This window comes from Homo sapiens, chromosome 7 (assembly GCF_000001405.40).
Source record: "Homo sapiens chromosome 7, GRCh38.p14 Primary Assembly".
Taxonomy (NCBI): domain Eukaryota; kingdom Metazoa; phylum Chordata; class Mammalia; order Primates; family Hominidae; genus Homo; species Homo sapiens.
The window spans coordinates 137,416,088-137,441,002 of NC_000007.14; the positions used below are offsets into that span (position 1 = coordinate 137,416,088).

A 24,915-nucleotide genomic window follows, 5' to 3' on the forward strand; every position below is an offset into this window, starting at 1 on the left:
AGAGAGAGAAACAGAGAAAGAAAGGAGAAAGGAGACAGAAAAGGAAAGAAAAATGAATTAACTAACTGAAAGCATTTATGTAATAAAATTAGGTACATGTAAGCAATAAAGCAAGATGATGAAAAAACTCCCCAGGACAAAGGCTATTTAAGGATCACTAAATATATAAGTTAATAAAAATAGGACAGTCTGGGTAAAACTCTTGACTAGGTGTGGAGTTCATAGAAGGCTTCCTGAAGCAGGTGAAGTTTAAGCTGACTCTTCAATGATACATAGATTAATTAACAAAGAAGCTTTGAAAAATCCTCGCAAGATGAAGGAAGGATGTGAACAAAGAGATAAAAGTAAGTCATGGTGTCTGAGGGAATCTGCAAAGAGCTTTGTGTTGCCACATCTGAGGTGGAGAGTAGTCTCAGGTAACGCGATCCAAGGTTTCACAGGAACCACTCCAAGGAGTGAGTCTGACACCAAGATAAGGCACTTAAATTTTATTCTCCTGGTGATGAGAAGCTATTGAAGAGCTAAAAGCAAACCAGGAGAGCATATAAATGTCCTTAAGCATGTCAGTGTGAGTCTGCTTCCCCCCCTCTGGAAACAGTTAAGTTCCTACTCTTCGCTCCTTTTCTCCCCATAGCCAACATTATAGCATCTTTCAGCTTGTACCCCATATCGCTCCCAAGCATTGTTATTTATGTTTGTTGGTTTCCAACAGCTTCCCAGTTTGAAGTCCCCTTGAATAGGTAGAAGATCATATGACAGAATCATAACCACGAGTAGTTTCCAATTGTACTGGATGTGAAAAGCATGAATATTTATTTTAAGTCAAGCAATACACCCAAGGGTAGCTATTATGCAAACATTATTAGAAACAAGGCTCACTTCTCTCTCCTGATTAATGTCCTTCCCTATGAACACTGTTGTTTAAGATTTCCTCCACATAAAAAGAGCCTGAATCTATTATTATTCAACTCCAGATAATAACCTTCTGAAGGATTGAGCTTAAAAACAAATAATGAGTTGTTATGATTACAATATTATTCTTCATAGTTTCTTAAGCTCTGAGCTTGTCTTCTTGCCTTTCTCAAAACTCCTTCATACTAAGGAAACAATGCTCCAAAATTCAAAGAAGCAGGGAAAGTCAAGTTGTTAATGGATATAAAAGTTTTTAAGTATATGAATATTAAGTTTCTTGGAAAATTAAATCACAAACTTATGAAGACAGGAATGCAAGGGCGTAGGGAACTGAGAAATTTTTCATTTTTACAGGTTAGAAGTTGAATCATTACTTCATAGGAAATGGTTTATTTTTCCTTCTATGCTGTATCTTCAAATAAATTGTTTTTCAGTACACATACCAACACAGAAAACTGGGACTGAGAAGTCAAGACTTCCAGGAGAGAACTGCCATCTTCCTTCTCACAGCCTCTCTCTCTTAAGTCTGGGCTCTCAAGAGTCTGGATGTGCTCAGACATCCATGTGCGGAAGGAAGAGATGGCTTCTGTCATGTGGAATCAGGAAAGGGAGAAGACAGCTGCTGTGATTTGTATGTTTGTATAAACCCTCCAAAATTCATGTTGAAACTTAATCCCCAGTGTGGTATTAAGAGGTGGGGCCTTTTAGGAAGTGATTAAGTCACGAAGGCTCCACCCTCATGAAGGAAATCAATGCCCTTCTAAAAGAGCCTTGAGAAAGCTGCCTGTCCTTTCTATCTTTTCCACCATGTGAGGACACAGTTTTCATTTCTTTTTGCTTTCCCATTATGTGAGGATGCAGCAAGAGCTTTCCATCTTTGAAGCAGAGAGTAATTTGCTAGCACCTTGATCTTGGTCTTCCCAGAATCCAGAACCATGAGCAATAAATTTCTATTACTTAAACATGATCCAGTCTAAGATATTTTGTCCTAGCAGCAGGAACAGACTAAGATCCCCACCTGTTCCCACCATGCCAGGCCCCGTTTGAGGCAGTAAGAAGGCAGCAATGTACAAAACAAATGTCATCATGGAGTTACATTTTGGCAAGAAGTACAAAACAAAATCTGGCTTATTATTAGGAAGGGATATGCCATAATTGAGTCTACATTCAGACCTCCTGGGTTTAAGTCCTGTGAGTATCACTAACTGCTATGACCTTGGGCAAGTTAGTTTACCAAGCTCCAGTTCTATCAGTGGAAAAATTTAAAAAGCAGTTCTTTTGAGGCTCTGCCTTGCAAATAAGCTCAAGGTACAGAGAACCTAACCATTAAGGTACCTGGACATCTGTGGAGAGCAGCAGGGAGAACTGATGTTTTTAGCCCCATCACACAGAAAAAGAATTATTTTAGACTAAGGTAGAAGTTGGCATATGACTACTTCTGAAGGGATGGCTTAAGGTTGTAATTATTGCTGTACAGAAGACAATATTGGGGAATAAAAAGTATACAGAACTTGGCAAAGCCATATATATATGTTTGTGATTCTCAATAAAGCAACTGAAATAACTACATTGTTACATGCAAAATAGAATCACAACTCTGAACACTTATGTCTATTTTTTAAAAGTTTGATCTTTCATATTCAGTTATTTTTTTAGTTTTAAAAATAATATCCTATTACCACATTGTTGTCTGCCCATAGTAGCAGTCAGCTAACTCTTTTTTTCCAAAATTATAGAAGAAAAAAATAAAAGTAAATATAAAAACTGCTAAACAAAGAATGGCTTGAAAAGACGTAGGGAAAAACATCAGTTGATTCACTGGGAATCATAAATGCATCTAGCTTTGCCAAGTTCTGTGAACTTTTACTCCTAAATATTTTCATGTGCAAAGCAAGAGTCACAACCCTAAACTATTTCTTGAGGAGTAATAATACTCTACTTTCTAGCGTGTATTTGGTCTTAGTCTAACCTTTCATTTCATAGATGAGGAAAGTAGGGCTTGAGATCTGAACTGACCTTTGCAGGATCACACAGATTACTTAGCAATCCAGCTGAGAGACAAAGGACTCTTGTTTCATTTACTTGCCTCCCCCCTTCCCCAGGTCTGAGTTTCTTCCACTATATGATGCTGTTTCTCCTCTGTTTAACTTGGAGCAGGACAGCCAAAAATGAAAATAACCCCCGGAAAAAGTTTCATGAATGCATGACATACAAAATGAAGTTAAAGTAAATTTACAGTTTTAAGGCCCAACTTTTTGTGTGTGCCAACAGAGACAAAATCCATCGCAAATGTGACACAAATAATTCTCTTGATCTTATCATGACTGAAGTCTTCATAGTTTGCCTTTATTCAATCCGTTACTTCTTGCGTGGCTACCAGATAACTTATACCATAGCTGCCCCATAGCTCACTCTCTGAGATACATATTTCTGCATAGCCTTTGCTGTATTTACCTTATCAGAAACATTCTGTCCAATTTTTCTATTTTGTGAGCAGCCAGCCATGGTACATGAGCAACAAACTGTGAAGGCTTAGCTCGCAAAAAAATGAAATTTAGTATAATCATCAAACACAGCAAAGGTAATCTAACACGAATTCACAGGTATGGATGACCGCTGTGAATTATGCTAATGAGGCATAAATGGGAAGCAGCTCAAGAAAAATGACTGTAATTAATATTATTCTACATAGGCATACTGAATAAGTCCAAGATGAGGTGAGAAAAAGAATGAATTATATAAATTTCTAAAGACCTCTGCATTTTTATCTAGGCCTAGAGGACTTTTTCACAATCAGTAAAAAGACATGTGACAAATTATTTGTTATAATAAAAGTTAAACTACTGAAGGTTTTTAACATATTAGAACAGATTTAAGATTATTCTTCTAATGACATGCAACTCTGTATCAACTATCTATTATTGCATGGTAAAGTATATGACTTAAAACCCAATTATTTCTTTTGCTCAAAAATCTGCATTTGGGGCAGCGTTCTGCAGAGATAGTTTGTCTTTGTTATACCTGGCAGCAGTTGGAGCTGCTCCACTAAGAGCTGAAAGATCCAGTTCAAATATGATCAGACACATGGCTAGTAACTGGGTACTGGTATCGGCTAGGAGCCTTGGATCCTCTCATGTGGGATTCCTGGGCTTCCCGTGTGCTTCTTGGGCTTTCTTATAAGATGGTGGCTGGGTTCCAAAAGCAACCATCCCAAGAGAGCCCAGTGATCAACTCACCTCGCCTTGGAAATCCCAAGGTATCATTCCTGCTGAAGTCCACGTTTGCGCATATACAAGGAGAGAGAGCGTAGATCCCACATTTCAATGGAAAGAGCATCAAAGTCACATTGCAAGATGAGTGTGTAGGTGGGAGAAAATGCCATGGCTATTTTTGAAAAGTACAAACTGTCACATCATATACTTGAATTGTGATGTGCTTTGAGTCGGAGGGCTGGTGTTGACTTGTCAGTGTTGGGAAAGGGGTATAATCAACAGTCTTTTTACCTATGTCACTTATGGGAATGTGTTATGCATACAATGTCATCTGGTTTATGTCATGAGTATCTTGGCCTAAAAATTAAAAAGGATGAAAACTGCTTTTCTGGAGGAACAGATTTTTGGAGAAGAAAAAAAAAAAGAAAAGCAGGGGGAAGACCAGGCAATGGGTGCTTGTTAGATTGAATTAAAAATTCTGTCTTAGGTGTGTCTGTCCTTAATCTCTCATTAATAATCAGATGTGACCGAGCACTGTGGCCCACGCCTGTAATCCCAGCACTTTGGGAGGCCGAGGCAGGTGAATCACCTGAGGTCAGGAGTTTGAGATCAGCCTGGCCAACGTGGTACAAACTTGTCTCTGCTAAAAATACAAAAATTAGCTGGGCATGACGGTGGAAGCCTGTAGTCCCAGCTACTTGGGAGGCTAAGACAAGAGAATTGCTTGAACCCAGGAGGCGGAGGTTGCAGTGAGCCGAGATCACGCCACTGCACTCCAGCCTGAGTGACAGAGTGAGATTCCGTCTCAATAAAAAAGAAAAAGAAAAAGAAAAAAAAATCAGATGTAAGAGAAGAGACTCTCCCAATCTCCTCCCCTTTTTCCTCCTTCAAACACTCACTGAATTCTAGGTTTATACCCCTCACACTCCACCTACCAGCTTCTCCTCCACTGCTGAAACATGGTGCAGAGCACACATCTCACATGGCTACCTTCTCATCATCCCTGGGATTAATCCATCAGTGGCATCAAAAGGCCATTAGATACTACGGTGGCTTTATATTCAAACACCACCTGTGCCAAATCCATCTTAGATTGTGTAACCATAGATGGGAGACAAAAATAGGTTTTGTTTCTCTCTAATGACAGAATTAATCCCCCAATTCAATTAATTCCTGCTAATTAAATGCATGAATATATATTGGTTCTTTCCATCTGCTGTGGCAATCCTTTTGAAGCTCCTATTAGCATGGAAGAGATTTCTGTTTGGAGAAAAAACAAACAGCCTCCGTCTAGTGTTCCCTCCTGGCAGAAAACCTCTACCTTGCTGCCAGAGGATCAGGATGCACTCCCTTCAAAAGCAGTTCGTTCCACTTCTTTTATTCACCACTGGAATTGGCTATAAACAGCACAGGGACCAGATGTCTCTCCAAAGCATCCCATTTGCTTATCTGTTGTTGTGAAATTGTTTAATTGTTTCACATGTCTAAGTTCCACTTCTGCGATTAAGTCATAAGCATGAGGACACTTTTTTCTCTTTGTTTTATCCACACTATATCTTTCACTGAAATCTCTATGGGACAGAAAATACATGAAGTGCTTAATAAATAGTTGGTTGATCCTTTCGACCTGGTGATTCAGCCGGCTATCATTTCAATACACTTTAAAATCTGGATTGAGGAAGACATTCTAGGGAGTGGAAGAAAGCTCACCTTACTGGCCCCTGCTACACCTTGCAATCAATTTTGGAGACACAGATATCTTCAAATCTCTTTGTAAATCTCATGGTGTTTGTTAGTTGCATCTAGTAAACACAGCAAAACACCACTGCAACTATCTCATGAGATCAGAAATGTTTATGAGTCAACTCAGAGCTGTATATCAGCAATGATACTTGTTACTTCCTAGAACATTGATAGTAACGCTTAGATAAGTGTTAAAGCAAACTTCGTGGGTGAATTAATTTGCTTTGAGCACTGGGTTAGTGAAAACAAGCTCATGGGTTACAGGGCCAATAGACTCACACTCTTCCAGAATCACAGCATGTCACTTTCAACCTGCTGTGTAACATACATGACGCCAGTCACAAAGGACCAGCAAAGGGTCTTAAAATACCTTCTGGAAAATCTCTATAACTCAATATCAATTCTTTCTCTAGCAATAAATTAATATCATCACCTTTGGATGTAATGGGAAAACATATTTTTATATAGTACCACCATCTAAAGTAATATACAGCTATTCCCTTAAAACTAGAAAAATATAAATTCATTTCTAACATCAATATTATAGAATCCTATTTACGGTTTTGTTAGACAAACATTAAGCTTTCAAAAAAAACCAGGGAGGAGTTTTCATATTTGTAAAGCATTTTCTTTTTCTTTTCTTTTTTTTTTTTTTTTTTTTTTTTTTTGAGATGGAGTCTTGCACTCTCACCCAGACTGGAGTGCAGTGGCGCCATCTCAGCTCACTGCAAGCTCTGCCTCCCGGGTTCACGCAATTCTCCTGCCTCAGCCTCTCGAGTAGCTGGGACTACAGGCGCCCGCCACCACACCTGGCTAATTTTTTGTATTTTTAGTAGAGACGGGTTTTAACCATGTTAGCCAGGATGGTCTCGATCTCCTGACCTAGTGATCCACCCGCCTCAGCCTCCCAAAGTGCTGGGATTACAGGCGTGAGCCACCGCGCCCACCCTTGTAAAGCATTTTCATCATGAACCTAAAATAATTACAGTACACTGTAACATTCTTTTCCCCTTCTTAACATTTGAATGAAATAATATGTGTGTTGGAAACTGATGTAGCAATGCAAGAGATTTTTTTTAAGAAGTTCTAGTACTCTGAAGGTCCTTCATCCCTATAATGTTGAGAGAGTTTAATTTAGATTGTCTAACTTTGTTTTGTTTTACTTTCCTGGCATTTGGATGATAAAGCTATAATCCTGAGAGGGTAAGAGAAATGGAAGAACTAATAAAGTCCTTATTTTCCCCACAAATGAGAGGAAGGTGCCATGTAAAAGAAAAGTGCTGCTGGCCTGTAGCTCTGGTGACTGTTACAGAGAAGCACAGAGAAAGCTTCAGGCGTTGGCTTTACCCCTTCCTCCAACATCAGGCAGGCATTCTTCCTGTGATCAGGGTCCCTGAACTCACTGGATGTGTTTTAGCAGTGTCCTTCAAGGCCTCTGAAAGGAACTTGGGGTGAACAAGTGTACTCATGTTTCACCCAGTGATATCTGTAAGCAGGTCTGATGTGGCCTGAGAGTAATGGATGGTTACTGGTTTTACCAAACATCAAGACTGTTTGGAAAATGATGTTTAAGGTCAGAAGCCAAGTACAGTTAAGTATGTACTAGAGCTCAAAAAGATTATAAGCTTATAAGTCATCCAGTCATCAGGATACACATTACATTTCTTCTCAGTGACTAGCAGCAAACTGACCACTCTGTAATATAAAGGCTTTTTAAACCAAAAAGAAGAACAGCCAAACACCCCTCACTGGAACAAAAGTAAAGTCAGGAAGGAGTTAATTTAGCAAAGGTCATGTTCAGAGACATACCAGCAAAATGCACATACGGCAAAAGTGTACAATTAAAAAATAAATAAAATGTCAAGAGCATACCCTCACTTATTATTGTAAATATAGATTATTTGCATTATTTATTTATCAATTTTTTATTATACTTTAAGTTCTGGGATACACGTGCAGAATGTGCAGCTTTACATAGGTATACACTTGCCGTGGTGGTTTGCTGCACCCACCAACCCATCATCTACTTTAGGTATTTCTCCTAATGCTATCCCTCCCCTAGACCCACCCCTACTGGGTTATAATAAAACATTAATTTTGAATCTTCCCCATATAAGCATATGACAGTTATTACTTGGAAGAATATAAAAATTAAGCATTTTATTTCAGAAAAGTAAAAATAAATCTTAACTTTCACTATATCATGCTAAATTGATTAAGCAACATTATGCCTTAGAAGAATTGTTATGTAAATGGTTACTTCTGAAGCATGCCCAAGACATAAAACATTAATTTGAAATAGAATAGGCTTCAGTGTATCAGTAAGTCTTCAATTATATTTATTAAAGATCAAATTTTTATTGTCCAGTTGATAGGAAGGGAAATGAAATCAAGACTAAACCTTCATTCTTCATAGGAATTCATATATTCTTAAGAAAAAGAGAGGGGTCGAGCCAAGGTGGCCGAATATGAACAGCTCCGGTCTACAGCTCCCAGCGTGAGTGACGCAGAAGACGGGTGATTTCTGCATTTCCATCTGAGGTACCGGGTTCATCTCACTAGGGAATGCCAGACAGTGGGCACAGGACAGTGGATGCAGTGCACCGTGCGCGAGCCAAAGCAGGGTGAGGCATTGCCTCACTTGGGAAGCACAAGGGGTCAGGGAGTTCCCTTTGCTAGTCAGAGAAAGGGGTGACAGACGGCACCTGGAAAATCAGGTCACTCCCACCCTAATACTGTGCTTTTCCAACGGGCTTAAAAAACGGCACACCAGGAGATTATATCTCGCACCTGGATTGGAGGGTCCTACGCCCACGGAATCTCGCTGATTGCTAGCACAGCAGTCTGAGATCAAACTGCAAGGTGGGAGCGAGACTGGGGGAGGGGCACCCGCCATTGCCCAGGCTTGCTTAGGTAAACAAAGCAGCCAGGAAGCTCGAACTGGGTGGAGCCCACCACAGCTCAAGGAGGCCTGCCTGCCTCTGTAGGCTCCACCTCTGGGTGCAGGGCACAGACAAACAAAAAGACAGCAGTAACCTCTGCAGACTTAAATGTCCCTGTCTGACAGCTTTGAAGAGAGCAGTGGTTCTCCCCAGCATGCAGCTGGAGATCTGAGAATGGGCAGACTTCCTCCTCAAATGGGTCCCTGACCCCTGACCCCTGACCCCTGAGCAGCCTAGCTGGGAGGCACCCCCCAGTAGGGGCAGACTGACACCTCACACTGCCGGGTACTCCTCTGAGACAAAACTTCCAGAGGAAAGATCAGACAGCAGCATTTGTGGTTCACGAAAATCTGCTGTTCTGCAGCGACTGCTGCTGATACCCAGGCAAACAGGGTCTGGAGTGGACCTCTAGCAAACTCCAACAGACCTGCAGCTAAGGGTCCTGTCTGTTAGAAGGAAAACTAACAAACAGAAAGGACATCCACACCAAAAACCCATCTGTACATCACCATCATCAAAGACCAAAAGTACATAAAACCACAAAGATGGGGAAAAAACAGAGCAGAAAGACTGGAAACTCTAAAAAGCAGAGCGCCTCTCCTCCTCCAAAGGAATGCAGTTCCTCACCAGCAACAGAACAAAGATGGACGGAGAATGACTTTGACGAGTTGAGAGAAGAAGGCTTCAGACGATCAAATTACTCTGAGCTACAGGAGGAAATTCAAACCAAAGGCAAACAAGTTAAAAACTTTGAAAAAAATTTAGAAGAATGTATAACTAGAATAACCAATACAGAGAAGTGCTTAAAGGAGCTGATGGAGCTGAAAGCCAAGGCTTGAGAACTACGTGAAGAATCCAGAAGCCTCGGGAGCCGATGCGATCAACTGGAAGAAAGGGTATCAGTGATGGAAGATGAAGTGAATGAAATGAAGCGAGAAGGGAAGTTTAGAGAAAAAAGAATAAAAAGAAATGAACAAAGACTCCAAGAAATATGGGACTATGTGAAAAGACCAAATCTACGTCTGATTGGTGTATCTGAAAGTGACGGGGAGAATGGAACCAAGTTGGAAAACACTCTGCAGGATATTATCCAGGAGAACTTCCCCAATCTAAAAAGGCAGGCCAACATTCAGACTCAGGAAATACAGAGAACGCCACAAAGATACTCCTCGAGAAGAGCAACTCCAAGGCACATAATTGTCAGATTCACCGAAGTTGAAATGAAGGAAAAAATGTTAAGGGCAGCCAGAGAGGCAGGTTGGGTTACCCACAAAGGGAAGCCCATCAGACTAACAGCGGATCTCTGGGCAGAAACTCTACAAGCCAGAAGAGAGTGGGGGCCGATATTCAACATTCTTAAAGACAAGAATTTCCAACCCAGAATTTCATATCCAGCCAAACTAAGCTTCATAAGTGAAGGAGAAATAAAATACTTTACAGACAAGCAAATGCTGAGAGATTTTGTCACCAGCAGGCCTGCCCTAAAAGAGCTCCTGAAGGAAGCACTAAACATAGAAAGGAACAACCGGTACCAGCCACTACAAAATCATGCCAAATTGTAAAGACCATCGAGGCTAGGAAGAAACTGCATCAACTAACAAGCAAAATAACCAGCTAACATCATAATGACAGGATCAACTTCACACATAACAACATTAACTTTAAATGTAAATGGACTAAATGCTCCAATTAAAAGACACAGACTGGCAAACTGGATAAAGACTCAAGACCCATCAGTGTGCTGTATTCAGGAAACCCATCTCATGTGCAGTGACACACACAGGCTCAAAATAAAAGGATGGAGGAAGATCTACCAAGCAAATGGAAAACAAAAAAAGGCAGGGGTTGCAATCCTAGTCTCTGATAAAACAGACTTTAAACCAACAAAGATCAAAAGAGACAAAGAAGGCCATTACATAATGGTAAAGGGATCAATTCAACAAGAAGAGCTAACTATCCTAAATATGCATGCACCCAATACAGGAGCACCCAGATTCATAAAGCAAGTCCTGAGTGACCTACAAAGAGACTTAGACTCCCACACATTAATAATGGGAGACTTTAACACCCCACTGTCAACATTAGACAGATCAACGAGACAGAAAGTCAACAAGGATACCCAGGAATTGAACTCAGCTCTGCACCAAGTGGACCTAATAGACATCTACAGAACTCTCCAACCCAAATCAACAGAATATACATTTTTTTCAGCACCACCCCACACCTATTCCAAAATTGACCACATAGTTGGAAGTAAAGCTCTCCTCAGCAAATGTAAAAGAACAGAAATTATAAAAAACTGTCTCTCAGACCACAGTGCAATCAAACTAGAACTCAGGATTAAGAAACTCACTCAAAACCACTCAACTACATGGAAACTGAACAACCTGCTCCTGAATGACTACTGGGTACATAAGGAAACGAAGGCAGAAATAAAGATGTTCTATGAAAGCAACGAGAACAAAGACACAACATACCAGAATCTCTGGGACACATTCAAAGCAGTGTGTAGAGGGACATTTATAGCACTAAATGCCCACAAGAGAAAGCAGGAAAGATCCAAAATTGACACCCTAACATCACAATTAAAAGAACTAGAAAAGCAAGAGCAAACACATTCAAAAGCTAGCAGAAGGCAAGAAATAACTAAAATCAGAGTAGAACTGAAGGAAATAGTGACACAAAAAACCCTTCAAAAAATTAAAGAATCCAGGAGCTGGTTTTTTGAAAGGATCAACAAAATTGATAGACCACTAGCAAGACTAATAAAGAAAAAAAGAGAGAAGAATCAAATAGATGCAATAAAAAATGATAAAGGGGATATCACCACTGATCCCACAGAAATACAAACTACCATCAGAGAATACTACAAACACCTCTACGCAAATCAACTAGAATACCTAGAAGAAATGGACAAATTCCTCGACACATACACCCTCCCAAGACTAAACCAGGAAGAAGTTGAATCTCTGAATAGACCAATAACAGGAGCTGAAATTGTGGCAATAATCAATAGCTTACCAACCAAAAAGAGTCCACGACCAGATGGATTCACAGCCGAATTCTACCAGAGGTACAAGGAGGAACTGGTACCATTCCTTCTGAAACTATTCCAATCAATAGAAAAAGAGGGAATCCTCCCTAACTCATTTTATGAGGCCAGCATCATCCTGATACCAAAGCCGGGCAGAGACACAACCAAAAAAGAGAATTTTAGACCAATATCCTTGATGAACATTGATGCAAAAATCCTCAATAAAATACTGGCAAAACGAATCCAGCAGCACATCAAAAAGCTTATCCACCATGATCAAGTGGGCTTCATCCCTGGGATGCAAGGCTGGTTCAATATATGCAAATCAATAAGTGGAATCCAGCATATAAACAGAACCAAAGACAAAAACCACATGATTATCTCAATAGATGCAGAAAAGGCCTTTGACAAAATTCAACAACGCTTCATGCTAAAAACTCTCAATAAATTAGGTATTCATGGGGCATATCTCAAAATAATAAGAGCTATCTATGACAAACCCACAGCCAATATCATACTGAATGGGCAAAAACTGGAAGCATTCCCTTTGAAAACTGGCACAAGACAGGGATGCCCTCTCTCACCACTCCTATTTGACATAGTGTTGGAAGTTCTGGCCAGGGCAATTAGGCAGGAGAAGGAAATAAAGGGTATTCAATTAGGAAAAGAGGAATTCAAATTGTCCCTTTTTGCAGATGACATGATTGTATATCTAGAAAACCCCATTGTCTCAGCCCAAAATCTCCTTAAGCTGATAAGCAACTTCAGCAAAGTCTCAGGATACAAAATCAATGTACAAAAATCACAAGCATTCTTATACACCAATGACAGACAAACAGAGAGCCAAATCATGAGTGAACTCCCAGTCACAATTGCTTCAAAGAGAATAAAATACCTAGGAATCCAACTTACAAGGGATGCGAAGGACCTCTTCAAGGAGAACTACAAACAACTGCTCAATGAAATAAAAGAGGACACAAAGAAATGGAACAACATTCCATGCTCATGAGTAGGAAGAATCAATATCGTGAAAATGGCCATACTGCCCAAGGTAATTTATAGATTCAATGCCATCCCCATCAAGCTACCAATGACTTTCTTCACAGAATTGGAAAAAACTACTTTAAAGTTCATATGGAACCAAAAAAGAGCCCACATCACCAAGTCAATCCTAAGCCAAAAGAACAAAGCTGGAGGAATCACACTACCTGACTTCAAACTATACTACAAGCCTACAGTAACCAAAACAGCATGGTACTGGTACCAAAACAGAGATATAGATCAATGGAACAGAACAGGGCCCTCAGAAATAACACCACATATCTACAACTATCTGATCTTTGACAAACCTGAGAAAAACAAGCAATGGGGAAAGGATTCCCTATTTAATAAATGGTGCTGGGAAAACTGGCTAGCCATATGCAGAAAGCTGAAAGTGGATCCCTTCCTTACACCTTATACAAAAATTAATTCAAGATGGATTAAAGACTTAAACGTTAGACCTAAAACCATAAAAACCCTAGAAGAAAACCTAGGCATTACCATTCAGGACATAGGCATGGGCAAGGACTTCATGTCTAAAACACCAAAAGCAATGGCAACAAAAGACAAAATTGACAAATGGGATCTAATTAAACTAAAGAGCTTCTGCACAGCAAAAAAAACTACCATCAGAGTGAACAGGTAACCTACAAAATGGGAGAAAATTTTCACAACCTACTCATCTGACAAAGGGCTAATATCCAGAATCTACAATGAACTCAAACAAATTTACAAGAAAATAACAAACAACCCCATCAAAAAGTGGGCGAAGGACATGAACAGACACTTCTCAAAAGAAGACATTTATGCAGCCAAAAAACACATGAAAAAATGCTCACCATCACTGGCCATCAGAGAAATGCAAATCAAAACCACAATGAGATACCATCTCACACCAGTTAGAATGGCAATCATTAAAAAGTCAGGAAACAACAGGTGCTGGAGAGGATGTGGAGAAATAGGAACACTTTTACACTGTTGGTGGGACTGTAAACTAGTTCAACCATTGTGGAAGTCAGTGTGGCGATTCCTCAGGGATCTAGAACTGGAAATACCATTTGACCCAGCCATCCCATTACTGGGTATATACCCAAAGGACTATAAATCATGCTGCTATAAAGACACATGCACACGTATATTTATTGTGGCACTATTCACAATAGCAAAGACTTGGAAGCAACCCAAATGTCCAACAATGATAGACTGGGTTAAGAAAATGTGGCACATACACACCATGGAATACTATGCAGCCATAAAAAATGATAAGTTCATGTCCTTTGTAGGAACATGGATGAAATTGGAAATCATCATTCTCAGTAAACTATCACAAGGACAAAAAACCAAACACCGCATGTTCTCACTCATAGGTGGGAACTGAACAATGAGAACACATGGACACAGGAAGGGGAACATCACACTCTGGGGACTATTGTGGCGTGGGGGGAGGGGGGAGGGATGGCATTAGGAGATATACCTAATGCTAAATGACGTGTTAATGGGTGCAGCACACCAGCATGGCACATGTATACATATGTAACTAACCTGCACATTGTGCACATGTACCCTAAAACTTAAAGTATAATAATAATAAAATAAAAAATAATTTTAAAAAAAGAAAAAGAATATCTAGAAACTTAATATGTATATACTTATACATCCAAATGTAGTCCCTGATTGCTAAAGAAATAGAGTGATGTAGAGAATGATTTCCTAGAGAAGGTAAAAGAAATTTTCCAAAAACGAAGATTCGCATTGGTAGAAAAGCTGGGGGTACAGATTTCTATAGAGAACAGTCAGCTTAGCAGAATGAAGGAAGACATAAGAAGCACTTCCATTTGATAACAGGGACCTCTAAAATAGGGTCAGGGAGGAGTGTGTCAGGAATAGCGGGAAAATGAGATGCTGAGAGAACCCCATTCAGGACTCAGAGGGGAGTGTGAGGCCAAAGACTCTCCCTCCTCTCCCCGAACTCCCACCCCTATAACATCAACAAAAAATCACTCGGAGACTTCATTCAGACTATATCCTCACACAAGTCTACCACCCTCTTCCCCAAAGAGAACTAGAAGTTTAAATATATAGCAGAAAGACAGCTGGGAAATCAGATGCTTGAAGAATGGCTTTGGGTAGACCATGCTTTTTGACAACAGGAAAAAGCCCACAGGATAGCTAAAGAAGATTGGGTGACTAGAGAGGCACACAGTCAGAGAAACAAAGCAAACAGTTAACAGACATAGTCATGGTTTAAATCACTTTCTTGCAATCTTATAAAATACCTTTTTTTTTTTTTTCTCAATGGCTGAAACAATTGTCTTCACTAGCGAGGGTGACAGGATGGAAATGTAACCACACAAGGAAAACTGAGTGGATTCTGGCAGATTTCAAATTCCCTTTTCAATAATCATTGGCACTTTGCATTGTCAGGAGAAAAGCTGGAACCTGCATTATTAAATAGTATTTTGTTCCCTTGCCAAAGAATGTGGAAGCTGCCTGCCTGCAATATTTATACACTTGCAAAGTGGATTTTAGTGTTTTTCAAAAAGTGGGTCTGTGGCAAGGTGTGGCAACAGAAACTCCATTTGTCATCCCAAAGAGAAACAATATACTGGAATTCATAAGCAGAAATCCCTACAGGAACTCCTTAGAGAGCAGGGCACAGGTATCTCCAAAATACTTTCCAAAATTTAAAGGTGGTGTTTTTAATTTTTCCTCCTGTGTTTCATTGCTTAGTGTTCTCTCCTGGCTCAGAAGCCTGTAAATGTCCAGAGCAGAAGAGGCCTTAGAAGGCAGCCAAGCTCAGCCTGCTCCAGGGGGAAACCCAGGCCTGATGCAAGTGACTCCAAACCATGGCTTTTGGCAATTGCCAACCCTACCACCCATTCGAAAGTTGCAATTACTCAGAATGATACAAGTTGATACGGTTTGGATCCGTGTCCCCACCAAATCTCATGTTGAATTGTAATCCCCAGTGATGGAGGAGGGGTCTGATGGGAGGTGATTGGATCATGGGTGTGGATTTCCCCTGCGGTGTTCTCACGATAGTGAGTGAGTCTTCACGAGATCTGGTTGTTTAAAAGTATGTGGGGCACCTCCCCCTTTGCTTTCTCTTCCTCCTGCTCCAGCCATGTAGGATGTGCCTGCTTCCCCTTCGCCTTCTGCCATGATTGTAAGTTTCCTGAGGCCTCCCCATCGATGCGTCCTGTATAGCCTGTGGAACCATGAGCCAATGAAACCTCTTTTCTTTACAAATTACCCAGTCTCAGGTAATTCTGTATAGCAATGTGAGAATGGATGGACTAATACACAAGTCATTCTGTGTCCATTGGGCTGTAACCTGCAGGAAATGTGTATTTCAAGTAATCCTAGAGAACAATAGGCTTTAATCATCCCAAAAGCCCATGCAAATGAGACATATGAGGTCTATTTATAAAAAAATCTATATGCCCATTTTTTGGCTGTCTGACATTGATGGTTGCTCTCACTCTCTCTTGCACACTTCATCTCTTCCTGTCTCTTTCTTTTGTTGATGTTTGTAAGCAAACTGTATGCTAGGTCTTTGCCTATATTACCTAATTTAATCCTCACAATAAGCCTATTAGATATATACTCTTATTATTATCATCCTCATTTTCAGGATGAAGAAATTGAGGTTTAATGACATTAAGTAATTTGCTGAAGACCTCATGGCTAATATGGAATAAAACCAGCATGTAGAACCAGGATGTGAAATATTTATGAGATATGAGAAAGCCTGTCTCTTTAGCAGGGTACTACCTTGCCTGCTCATCTGGTTGTATAGACTGTCAAACAATACTATGGGGTCATTAGGTAGTAATACAAGGTCCTTCCTTCCCAATATTTCCCTGGTAAGGCCAAAGGGATGTAGTTTTAGTGGTCTCCATATCCCATACTCTTGTGGCTCTGATGAGGGAAGTTGTAGAAAATCAAGTTGCTCTGCTGGGTGAAGGAAAGGCTTCAGCAATGAACTTCTGGAAAGTATTATGTGAAGTTGTGCTTGCTTGGGAATGGATGTTACAGGATGCTAAGAAAGTCACACCCTAAGATTTAGGGCACCCAAAATGAACCCAGAAATTGAGGATTGACATAACAAGTCTGGCAAAACAAGGAAGCATTTAGTTGACTTAATTAGCTTGTAAGATGGCTGGACTGGTGAATATTTTAACAGCTTTATCCAGGACAGTCCAGACCTAAGCAGCTATAATTGACAGGTTGGGCAAACAAAAATGCAAACAAAAAATGCATTCAAAGCACTACAGCATACAGGTTAAAGTAACATATCTAAGACTAACCTTCTAGGAATCAAATGAAACAGTGACAACACATTCTAATATTTTGCAACTGGTAATGATGATAAGATATGTTTAGGGTAAGTCCATAATTCAGGGAAACCATTCACCAGCCAGTCCTTTGCAAGAGGAGGCCACCAAAACGATAAAACAAGCTCTAGGTAGAGGAGAAGACTTTTGATTAAATATTGGGATTTCTAGTCAAATTAAAAACAAATATAGTAACAATTAGCCTCACATGAGAATTATATTATAATAACTTTCAGTGTACCAACCCAGCCCCTTGGTTTCACTGGGTGTTAATATAACCCAGATCATATAATTTCATACAGTAGAAATCATAAACAAAGTAAACTTTTAACAATAGGCACAATTCAATTTTTTGTTTCTGCTATCATAGAATATTACACAAAGACCAGAGTCAGAGATTTCTCATTTCCTAAATAACTGTATTGACTTATCTGTGGAAATGAAATCTATGATCTCTTCACTTGTTGCCAGACACATCACCTTGTCTGATGGCCCCTTCTCATCTTTCCACTTAAAAGTAAACTAGGGGCCGGGCGTGGTGGCTCACGCCTGTAATGCCAGAACTTTGGGAGGCTGAGGCGGGTGGATCACATGAGGTCAGGAGTTCGAGACCAGCCTGGCCAACATGGTGAAACATCATCTCTAGTAAAAAACACAAAAATTAGCCGGCCATGGTAGCACACACCTGTAATTCCAGCTGCTCAGTAGGCTGAGGCAGGAGAAGCGCTTGAACCTGGGAGGCAGAGGTTGCAGTGAGCTGAGATCATGCCACTGCACTACAGCTTGGGTGGCACAGTGAAACTCCATCTCAAAAAAAAAAAAAAAAGTAAACTAGGACTTGGACACCAGCTCTCTTCCTTTTTCTAACTCCTTTTTTCCCGTTACTTTTTTATTTTACAATGTGTTAATATTTTAACTTAAATATTCTATAACCCCAAAAGCAACCCAATGCAATGCTGTAGGTAAATTTTAATAAAGAGTATTCCCGCAGCTGGGCATGGTGGCTCATGCCTGTAATCCCAGCACTTTGGGAGGCCAAGGCAGGCAGATTGCCTGAGGTCAGGAGTTTGAGACCAGGCTGACCAACATGGTGAAACCCTGTCTCCACTAAAAAGACAAAATATTACCTGGGCGTGGTGGTGCACGCCTGTAATCCCAGCTACTCGGAAGGCTGAGACAGGAGAATTGCTTGAACCTGGGAGACGGAGGTTGCAGTGAGCCGAGATTGTGCCACTGCACTCCAGCCTGGGTGACAGAGCAAGACTTCATCTCAAAACAAAACAAAAACAAACAAAAAAGAGTATTCCCTCATCTTCTCCAGCCACTTACAATCAACCTTCAAAAGACAACTAGATAATTATCACCAACAAAGCATTCCAGAAAAACCAGAACAATCAAAAGGATTACATGGTTACAATCAATAGTGAGATTTAGTAAAGGTAAATGACAGATAATAGTAGGGTCAGGACACATAGAAAGCAATATAACCAGATTTTGGAAAGCCCAGGGGGGTTTGTTTTGTTTTGTTTTGTTCTGTTTTTTAATCAGCAGTGAATTATCTATTTTCCTAGGATTTGTGAAAGAAGGCTAACTAAGAAAAAATATGCTATCATTTTTATTCTTTTCCTTTCAAAACACAGTCTATAGGGAACACCCACTGAGACTACCACAAAAGGCCATCTTTTCAGCACATAGTAACTGAATCTCTGGAAAAAGACCAGGAGTGACCTATCTTCTACAACAGGGAAGAATATTAATGAGGCTGCAATGGGATTCAAAGATGTGTAATGAAAGTTTCTGTTTGCCAACACCACATACTGCAGCAAATTTAACAGTAAGACTTGTATAGAGAGAATCAGTTCTGTGCCAGGGCACAGCACAGAATAGGGCAATGTCTCTATTCACTGAGTTTATAGTCAAATAAGAAGAGCAACATTACCCATGAGGAAAGAAAATTGGAACACACTCAAAAAAACAAAACAGGCAATAAGGAAGGAGAAATCATGGGCATTTAAGTTGTCAGGAAAATTCATCTTTGTTTGTCCTTAGCGTCTATAGAGGTGGTTCCAAGACACGGAAATTAATGAGCATTGAGGTGAGACCTGCATGAAGGACAATGAAGGTGCCTGCCAGAGAGATGGTAGGAGGTGACAGAAAGCTTATGGCTAAATAAAGACAAGAAAGGCGAGGTCTAGAGAGGGTCCCGCAAGCAGAGTAGAAGTAACTCTCTAAAGCTCGAAAGCAACATGAGCTAAAGCGGGAAGAGAAAGAGCCTCAAAAATGAGCACTGTTTTTTACAACGGGGATTCTATAGGAAAAATCTGATATGGGGCAAAAAAAAGGACACTCTAGCAACTTTATATTTATGATAGCCCAAAGTCATTGCAAAGTGATGTACTGTGACGCTCAGTACAGTAGGCTCTACCTAGCAATGCAATTAAAGATCTGCACATATTTCCATCTGTAACATCAGTCAAGTTTACTTTTTTGAGACAGAGTCTTGCTCTGTAGCCCAGGCTAGAGTACAGTGGCACGATCTCGGCTCTCTGCAACCTCTGCCTCCTGGGTTCAAATGCTTCTCTTCCCTCAGCCTTCCAAGCAGCTGGGATTACAGGCATGCACCATCATGTCAGGCTTATTTTTGTATTTTTAGCAGAGGCGAGGTTTCACGATGTTGGCTAGGCTGGTCTCAAACTCCTCACCTCAGGTGATCGCCTCGGCCTCCCAAAGTGCTAAGATTACAGGTGTAGGCCACAGCACCCAGCCAGTATCTAACTTTCTTAATCTTCTTTACTCGTAGTCATCATGGTCATAATAATTATCTTCCTACTTGTGATATCTCTTTAAGGGAATAGCTACCTTTTGAGAACTCTACTATTTAAAAAAATGAATGTTATTGACAGGAGATTGGAACCCTATTTTCTTGATTATGAAGTATGGGGCTACAAGAAGTGGATCCAAAATATATCTTTGAATGTTTTTCTGTGTCAAGGGTTTTTCTTACTTACATGAATAAAAAATTCCCATCTTTAATAATCACTTTCTACCCAATAAAAAGACCTCATACAATTATGAGGTCTTTATTTAACAAATAATATCATGATTTCCTATTACACCAGCTCAAATTTCAGCAATGCTATTGACAGACAGTACAGAGAAATGGTTAAGAAAAGGATCTGGATCCAGATCACCTGAGTTCACATCCTAGTTCTACCTTTTACTCAATAGGCATGTTTTCTCATCTGTAAAATGAAAATAATAGTAGTATATACAAGATATTCCAGAAATAGGTAGCTCAAGTATTGTACAAAGCCTTCCAGAGATTATAAAAGAGGAAACCCTTCCTAATTCATTTTAAGCTATGAATATCATATACATACTACATAATAGAAAGCAAAATTAAAGACTAATCACACTTATGAACATGGATGTAAATATCTAAACAAAATATTAGCAAATCAAATCTAGCAATGTATAAAGGCGGTAAATATAAGAACCAATCTGAGTTCTTCTCATAAATACGATATTGATTTCTATTTAAAAATCAATTAGTAAAATGCACCATATTAACAGACCAAGGGGAAAAAAATTGTCATCTCTCAAGATGAAGAAAAGAGTATTAAATAAAATTCAACATCTGTTGAATTTAACAAATTAGAGCGAAGGAAAAGATCCTTATAAGAAATATCCACAAAACAAGTACTGTCACCTGCATCATGACCACCTGGCAGTGAACTTCTTACTTAATTGTGACTTGTGGATGGCACTCACTTTGGGATCAGGAACAAGTCAATGATGCTGACTATCTCTGTTACTAGTCAATACTGCACTGAAGGTTTTAACCAGTGCAGAAAGCACCAGAAATATGTATACAAAGCATAATGATTGGAAAGGACGAAACAAAATTCTTTGTAGATGAGATTGCCTATATAGAATTCTCTTCCCACAAAAAGACGCTTCAGATAAGATTTATGAATTTAAAACTTTAGCAGGAATATTGATAAAGAAACAAGATTTTAAAATTCAACTGCATTTCAATATGCCAGCAAAGACTACTTAGAAAACATAATTTTAAAAATACAACATACAAATTGTCACTAAAAATATAAAGTACCTAGGAATATATTTAACACAAAAATGACCAAATCCTTCATGAAGGAAATTATAAAACTCTATTCATAGCCATTTGAAAAAGCCAATTAAATGTCAAGAGATGTGGCTTGGAATAGAATGATGCATTATCATAGAAATATCAATTTTCTTTATACAAATTTATAGATTCATGCAATTTTCATAAAAAATTTCACCACAAAATTTGATACGCTAATTTTATAATTTATATGAAACAGGCAAAACTCAATTATAACCAAGTCACTCCCAAAGGACAAATTACAGGATATATCCTCCAACAGATATCTGGACTCATACCAAAGTTATAACAACTAAAACAATAGCACAGGGATAGATATATTCATCAATATAACAGAAAATAGAACCTAGAGACTCACATTTACAGGGAGACGACAGACTTTGTAAGTCAGTGAAGAAAATGAATGAAAATGAAATAGCTAGTTATGTATATGAACAGAATCAAAATTAAATTTGACCTTTATCTCTTACCAAACCACAAAAATCAATTCCAAGTTATCAAATATTAAAGAAAGCATTCTAAAAATTTTACAAGACAATATCTTTATGATTATGCTTTGAAAGATTTCTTTAAAAAATACCAAAGGCATAAACCATAGAGAAAACATTAATGATTTTACTGCAGTAAAATAAAGAATATCCATCTATTCATCAGATGACATCAAAAAGAGCTCGAACAGATAAGCCACAAACTGGAGAAAATTTGCAACACACATAGGAAACAAAATAATTTTTACATAGAATACATTAAAAAGTTCATAAATCATTAAGAAGAACACAACCAACCAGGTGGGGAAAAGTGAGTAAAAGAAATAAAAAGACCTTTCATAGAAGAGTAAACACAAATGGCCCATAAGTATATGAAAAGATGTTTGATCTCATGTGTAATCATTGACTACAAATTAAAATCACATTGAGATGCCATTTCATACTTTCACAAGACTAGCAAACATTTTTAAATTAGTTAATATCAAGTGTTGGTGAGGATGTAGATCAATGGGAACTCTTATCCACTGAAGTTGGGAGTGTATATTAAAATGATCACTCTGGAAAACAACATGTTATAATGCTATAAGTTAAATATGTGTATAATCTACCACCTAACTTAAGCTATTCCCAGGTTTAAGCGCATGGATACGAGGAAGAGTTACAAAAAAGAGAATGTTCATAGTAATATTGTTTGCAAGAGCAAAACAAAAACAAACCCCCAAGAAACCTGTTATTTATGTAAATATTCATTAGCAGATTGGATATATAAATTGGTATATACTCATACAATAGAGTAGTATACAACATGAACTATTGATGAAATGCATATGGCACTCATCCATAAGGATGAATCACAAAAATTATTCTTTTGAACAAAAGAAACAAATAACAACATGATTCAATTTGTACAAATTCAAAATACATAAAACTATGTACACACACACATATACACACATATAGGAATACATATATGAGTTATATATCCACGTATCCATTCATATGTAAGATATGCATATATGTAGTAAAACAAGAAGAAACAAGGACATGATTAACAAAAAGGCAGAATAGTAGTTATTTCTGAAGGAGAGGGAAGGGGACATAATTAGGGAAGCAAATGACATGAAGCTCCCAAATTCCTACAAATGTTTTACTTCTTAGTCTGAGGGCCAAGTACACAGTAGTTCGTTTTGCTTATTATTTAAACTGAGCAGATAACATTTTATATATTTTATGAATAGTATCTATTTCAGTAATATACATGAAAGAAAAGTGAATTGATGAGGTACAGCCATTGATGCCTCAAAGAGTTTGGGCCACGCCACAGTGTGTTTCACTGCATAACTGTATTAATCCATTCTCATGTTGCTAATAAAGACATACTCAAGACTGCATAATTTATAAAGGAAAGAGGTTTAATGGACTCACAGTTCCATATGGCTGGGGAGGCCTCACAATCATGGCGGAAGACGAAGGAAGAACAAAGGGATGTCTTACATGGTGGCAGGCAAGAGAGAGCTTGTGCAGGGGAACTCCCATTTACAAAACCATCAGATCTCATGAGACTTATTCACTATCACGAAAACAGTATGGGGGAAACTGCTCCATGATTCAATTATCTCTACCTGGCCCCATCCTTGACACATGGGGATTATTACAATTCAAGGTGAGATTTAGGTGGGGACACAGCCAAACCATATCAGTAACCTACTGCCAAGTACAGCCGTCTCCAAGCCTGACAGTGGATTCATTATTGAACACTTTACACTAGTGATTGTGGTTGTGACAATTTTATTTCCAAATAGCCATTACTGCAATTCATGTCCACTATGTTACTGCTGCAACAAAAAAGCTGCCCTAGAATGTGACGGCCATAGTTGACAACAGGTCTAAGAGGTAGGACAGGAGAGGGATGCCTGCCTCAGATGTTCCAGTGGGGCATGCAGCAGATTGCTGGCACTTTCTTTGAGAAGCCACTAATGCCTTTTATTTTGTAAATGAACAGACATTAGTTGGAAGATGACCTGCCCTGAGTGTGCTGGCACAGGTAGCAGCAGTAAGTGAAGCAGCGGTAAGCGCAGCATTCCAAGGAGCCTGTAAAATAAGCAGGCTAAGGTGACAGAAAGGAAGATGAGTTCTCAGAGCCAGGGAAGCAGCCTGGGCCCAGGAGATGGCTCCAGGAGCAATTTAAATGACGAAGTGATAGGCATTCAATACAGAGGAAATGCAGAGGACAGTGCAATCAATCACTGCCAAGCTTATCTTCTAACAAGGAGTAGGGCTCCAGTTTCCAGATGTAACATTAAAACTTAATGTTTCCACTGGGGTTTAGCATGGCAGGTTTCCCTGAAACTTCAGTTTCACTCAGTTAACTAATTATGAGAAAATGTGACATTGGTATTTCCTTTTTCTACAGGGACAAATCATTACCAGCAGGAGGGAGAAGTTGTTATTTTTGTTCTGCTCTGTTTTGTCATTAAAAAGAAATTAACTTACACAGTAGTAAATATACTCTTGTTAGAGGAGGGAAGAATTATCTCCATAGTTCTATCCATTCAATCATGTCTTTGGTTTTCCAGGGACATGGCCGATAAAAGAGAGTTAAGAGTTTGATTGTTAGAATTGGGTCTGAAAATTAACTCTCTCACCTACTAGCTATGTGACCTTAAGCAAGTTATTTAAGCACTCTGAGCCTGCTTTTGCAGCTGTGAAACTGGGGGTGATACATTGACTACAGAGTGTTATTTGTGAAAGATGAAAGGACATAAGGCAGTTGGAGCATGCGAGCACAGTGCTTCTGCATAATAAGCACTCAATACAATTTAGCCTTTATTCTTAGTGACCCTGATGCGCTATTATATAAATATAGAAACAGTTTATGTGTCATTTAGACCTTGTGTTGCCAATTCTATATGACCACACATCTAATCATCAACTGAGCCTTTACTCTGGCACTATAAGCTAAATGGTGTATTAAACATTTTACTCCTCCTCACCCTGATGTAATAAAAGGTTTCCAGAGAAAATTTAATGATAATGAAAAAAACGGTTATTCTCTC

At 39.1% G+C, this 24,915-nt stretch overlaps 1 protein-coding gene across 8 annotated transcripts in view, besides 1 other annotated feature; it reads right to left on the minus strand.

Annotated features, from left to right (window-relative positions):
- The window catches only part of DGKI (diacylglycerol kinase iota), a 465,938-nt gene that overhangs the window by 35,051 nt on the left and 405,972 nt on the right, over window positions 1-24,915 (minus strand). The window lies entirely within an intron of this gene.
- Window positions 23,687-24,203: an enhancer, noted in NCBI's record as "OCT4-NANOG hESC enhancer chr7:137124520-137125036 (GRCh37/hg19 assembly coordinates)". NCBI's record gives its function as "activates a minimal SCP1, AML or CMV promoter by ChIP-STARR-seq in primed H9 embryonic stem cells {active_cell/tissue: H9 hESC(primed)}" and the evidence as "EXISTENCE:reporter gene assay evidence [ECO:0000049][PMID:30033119]".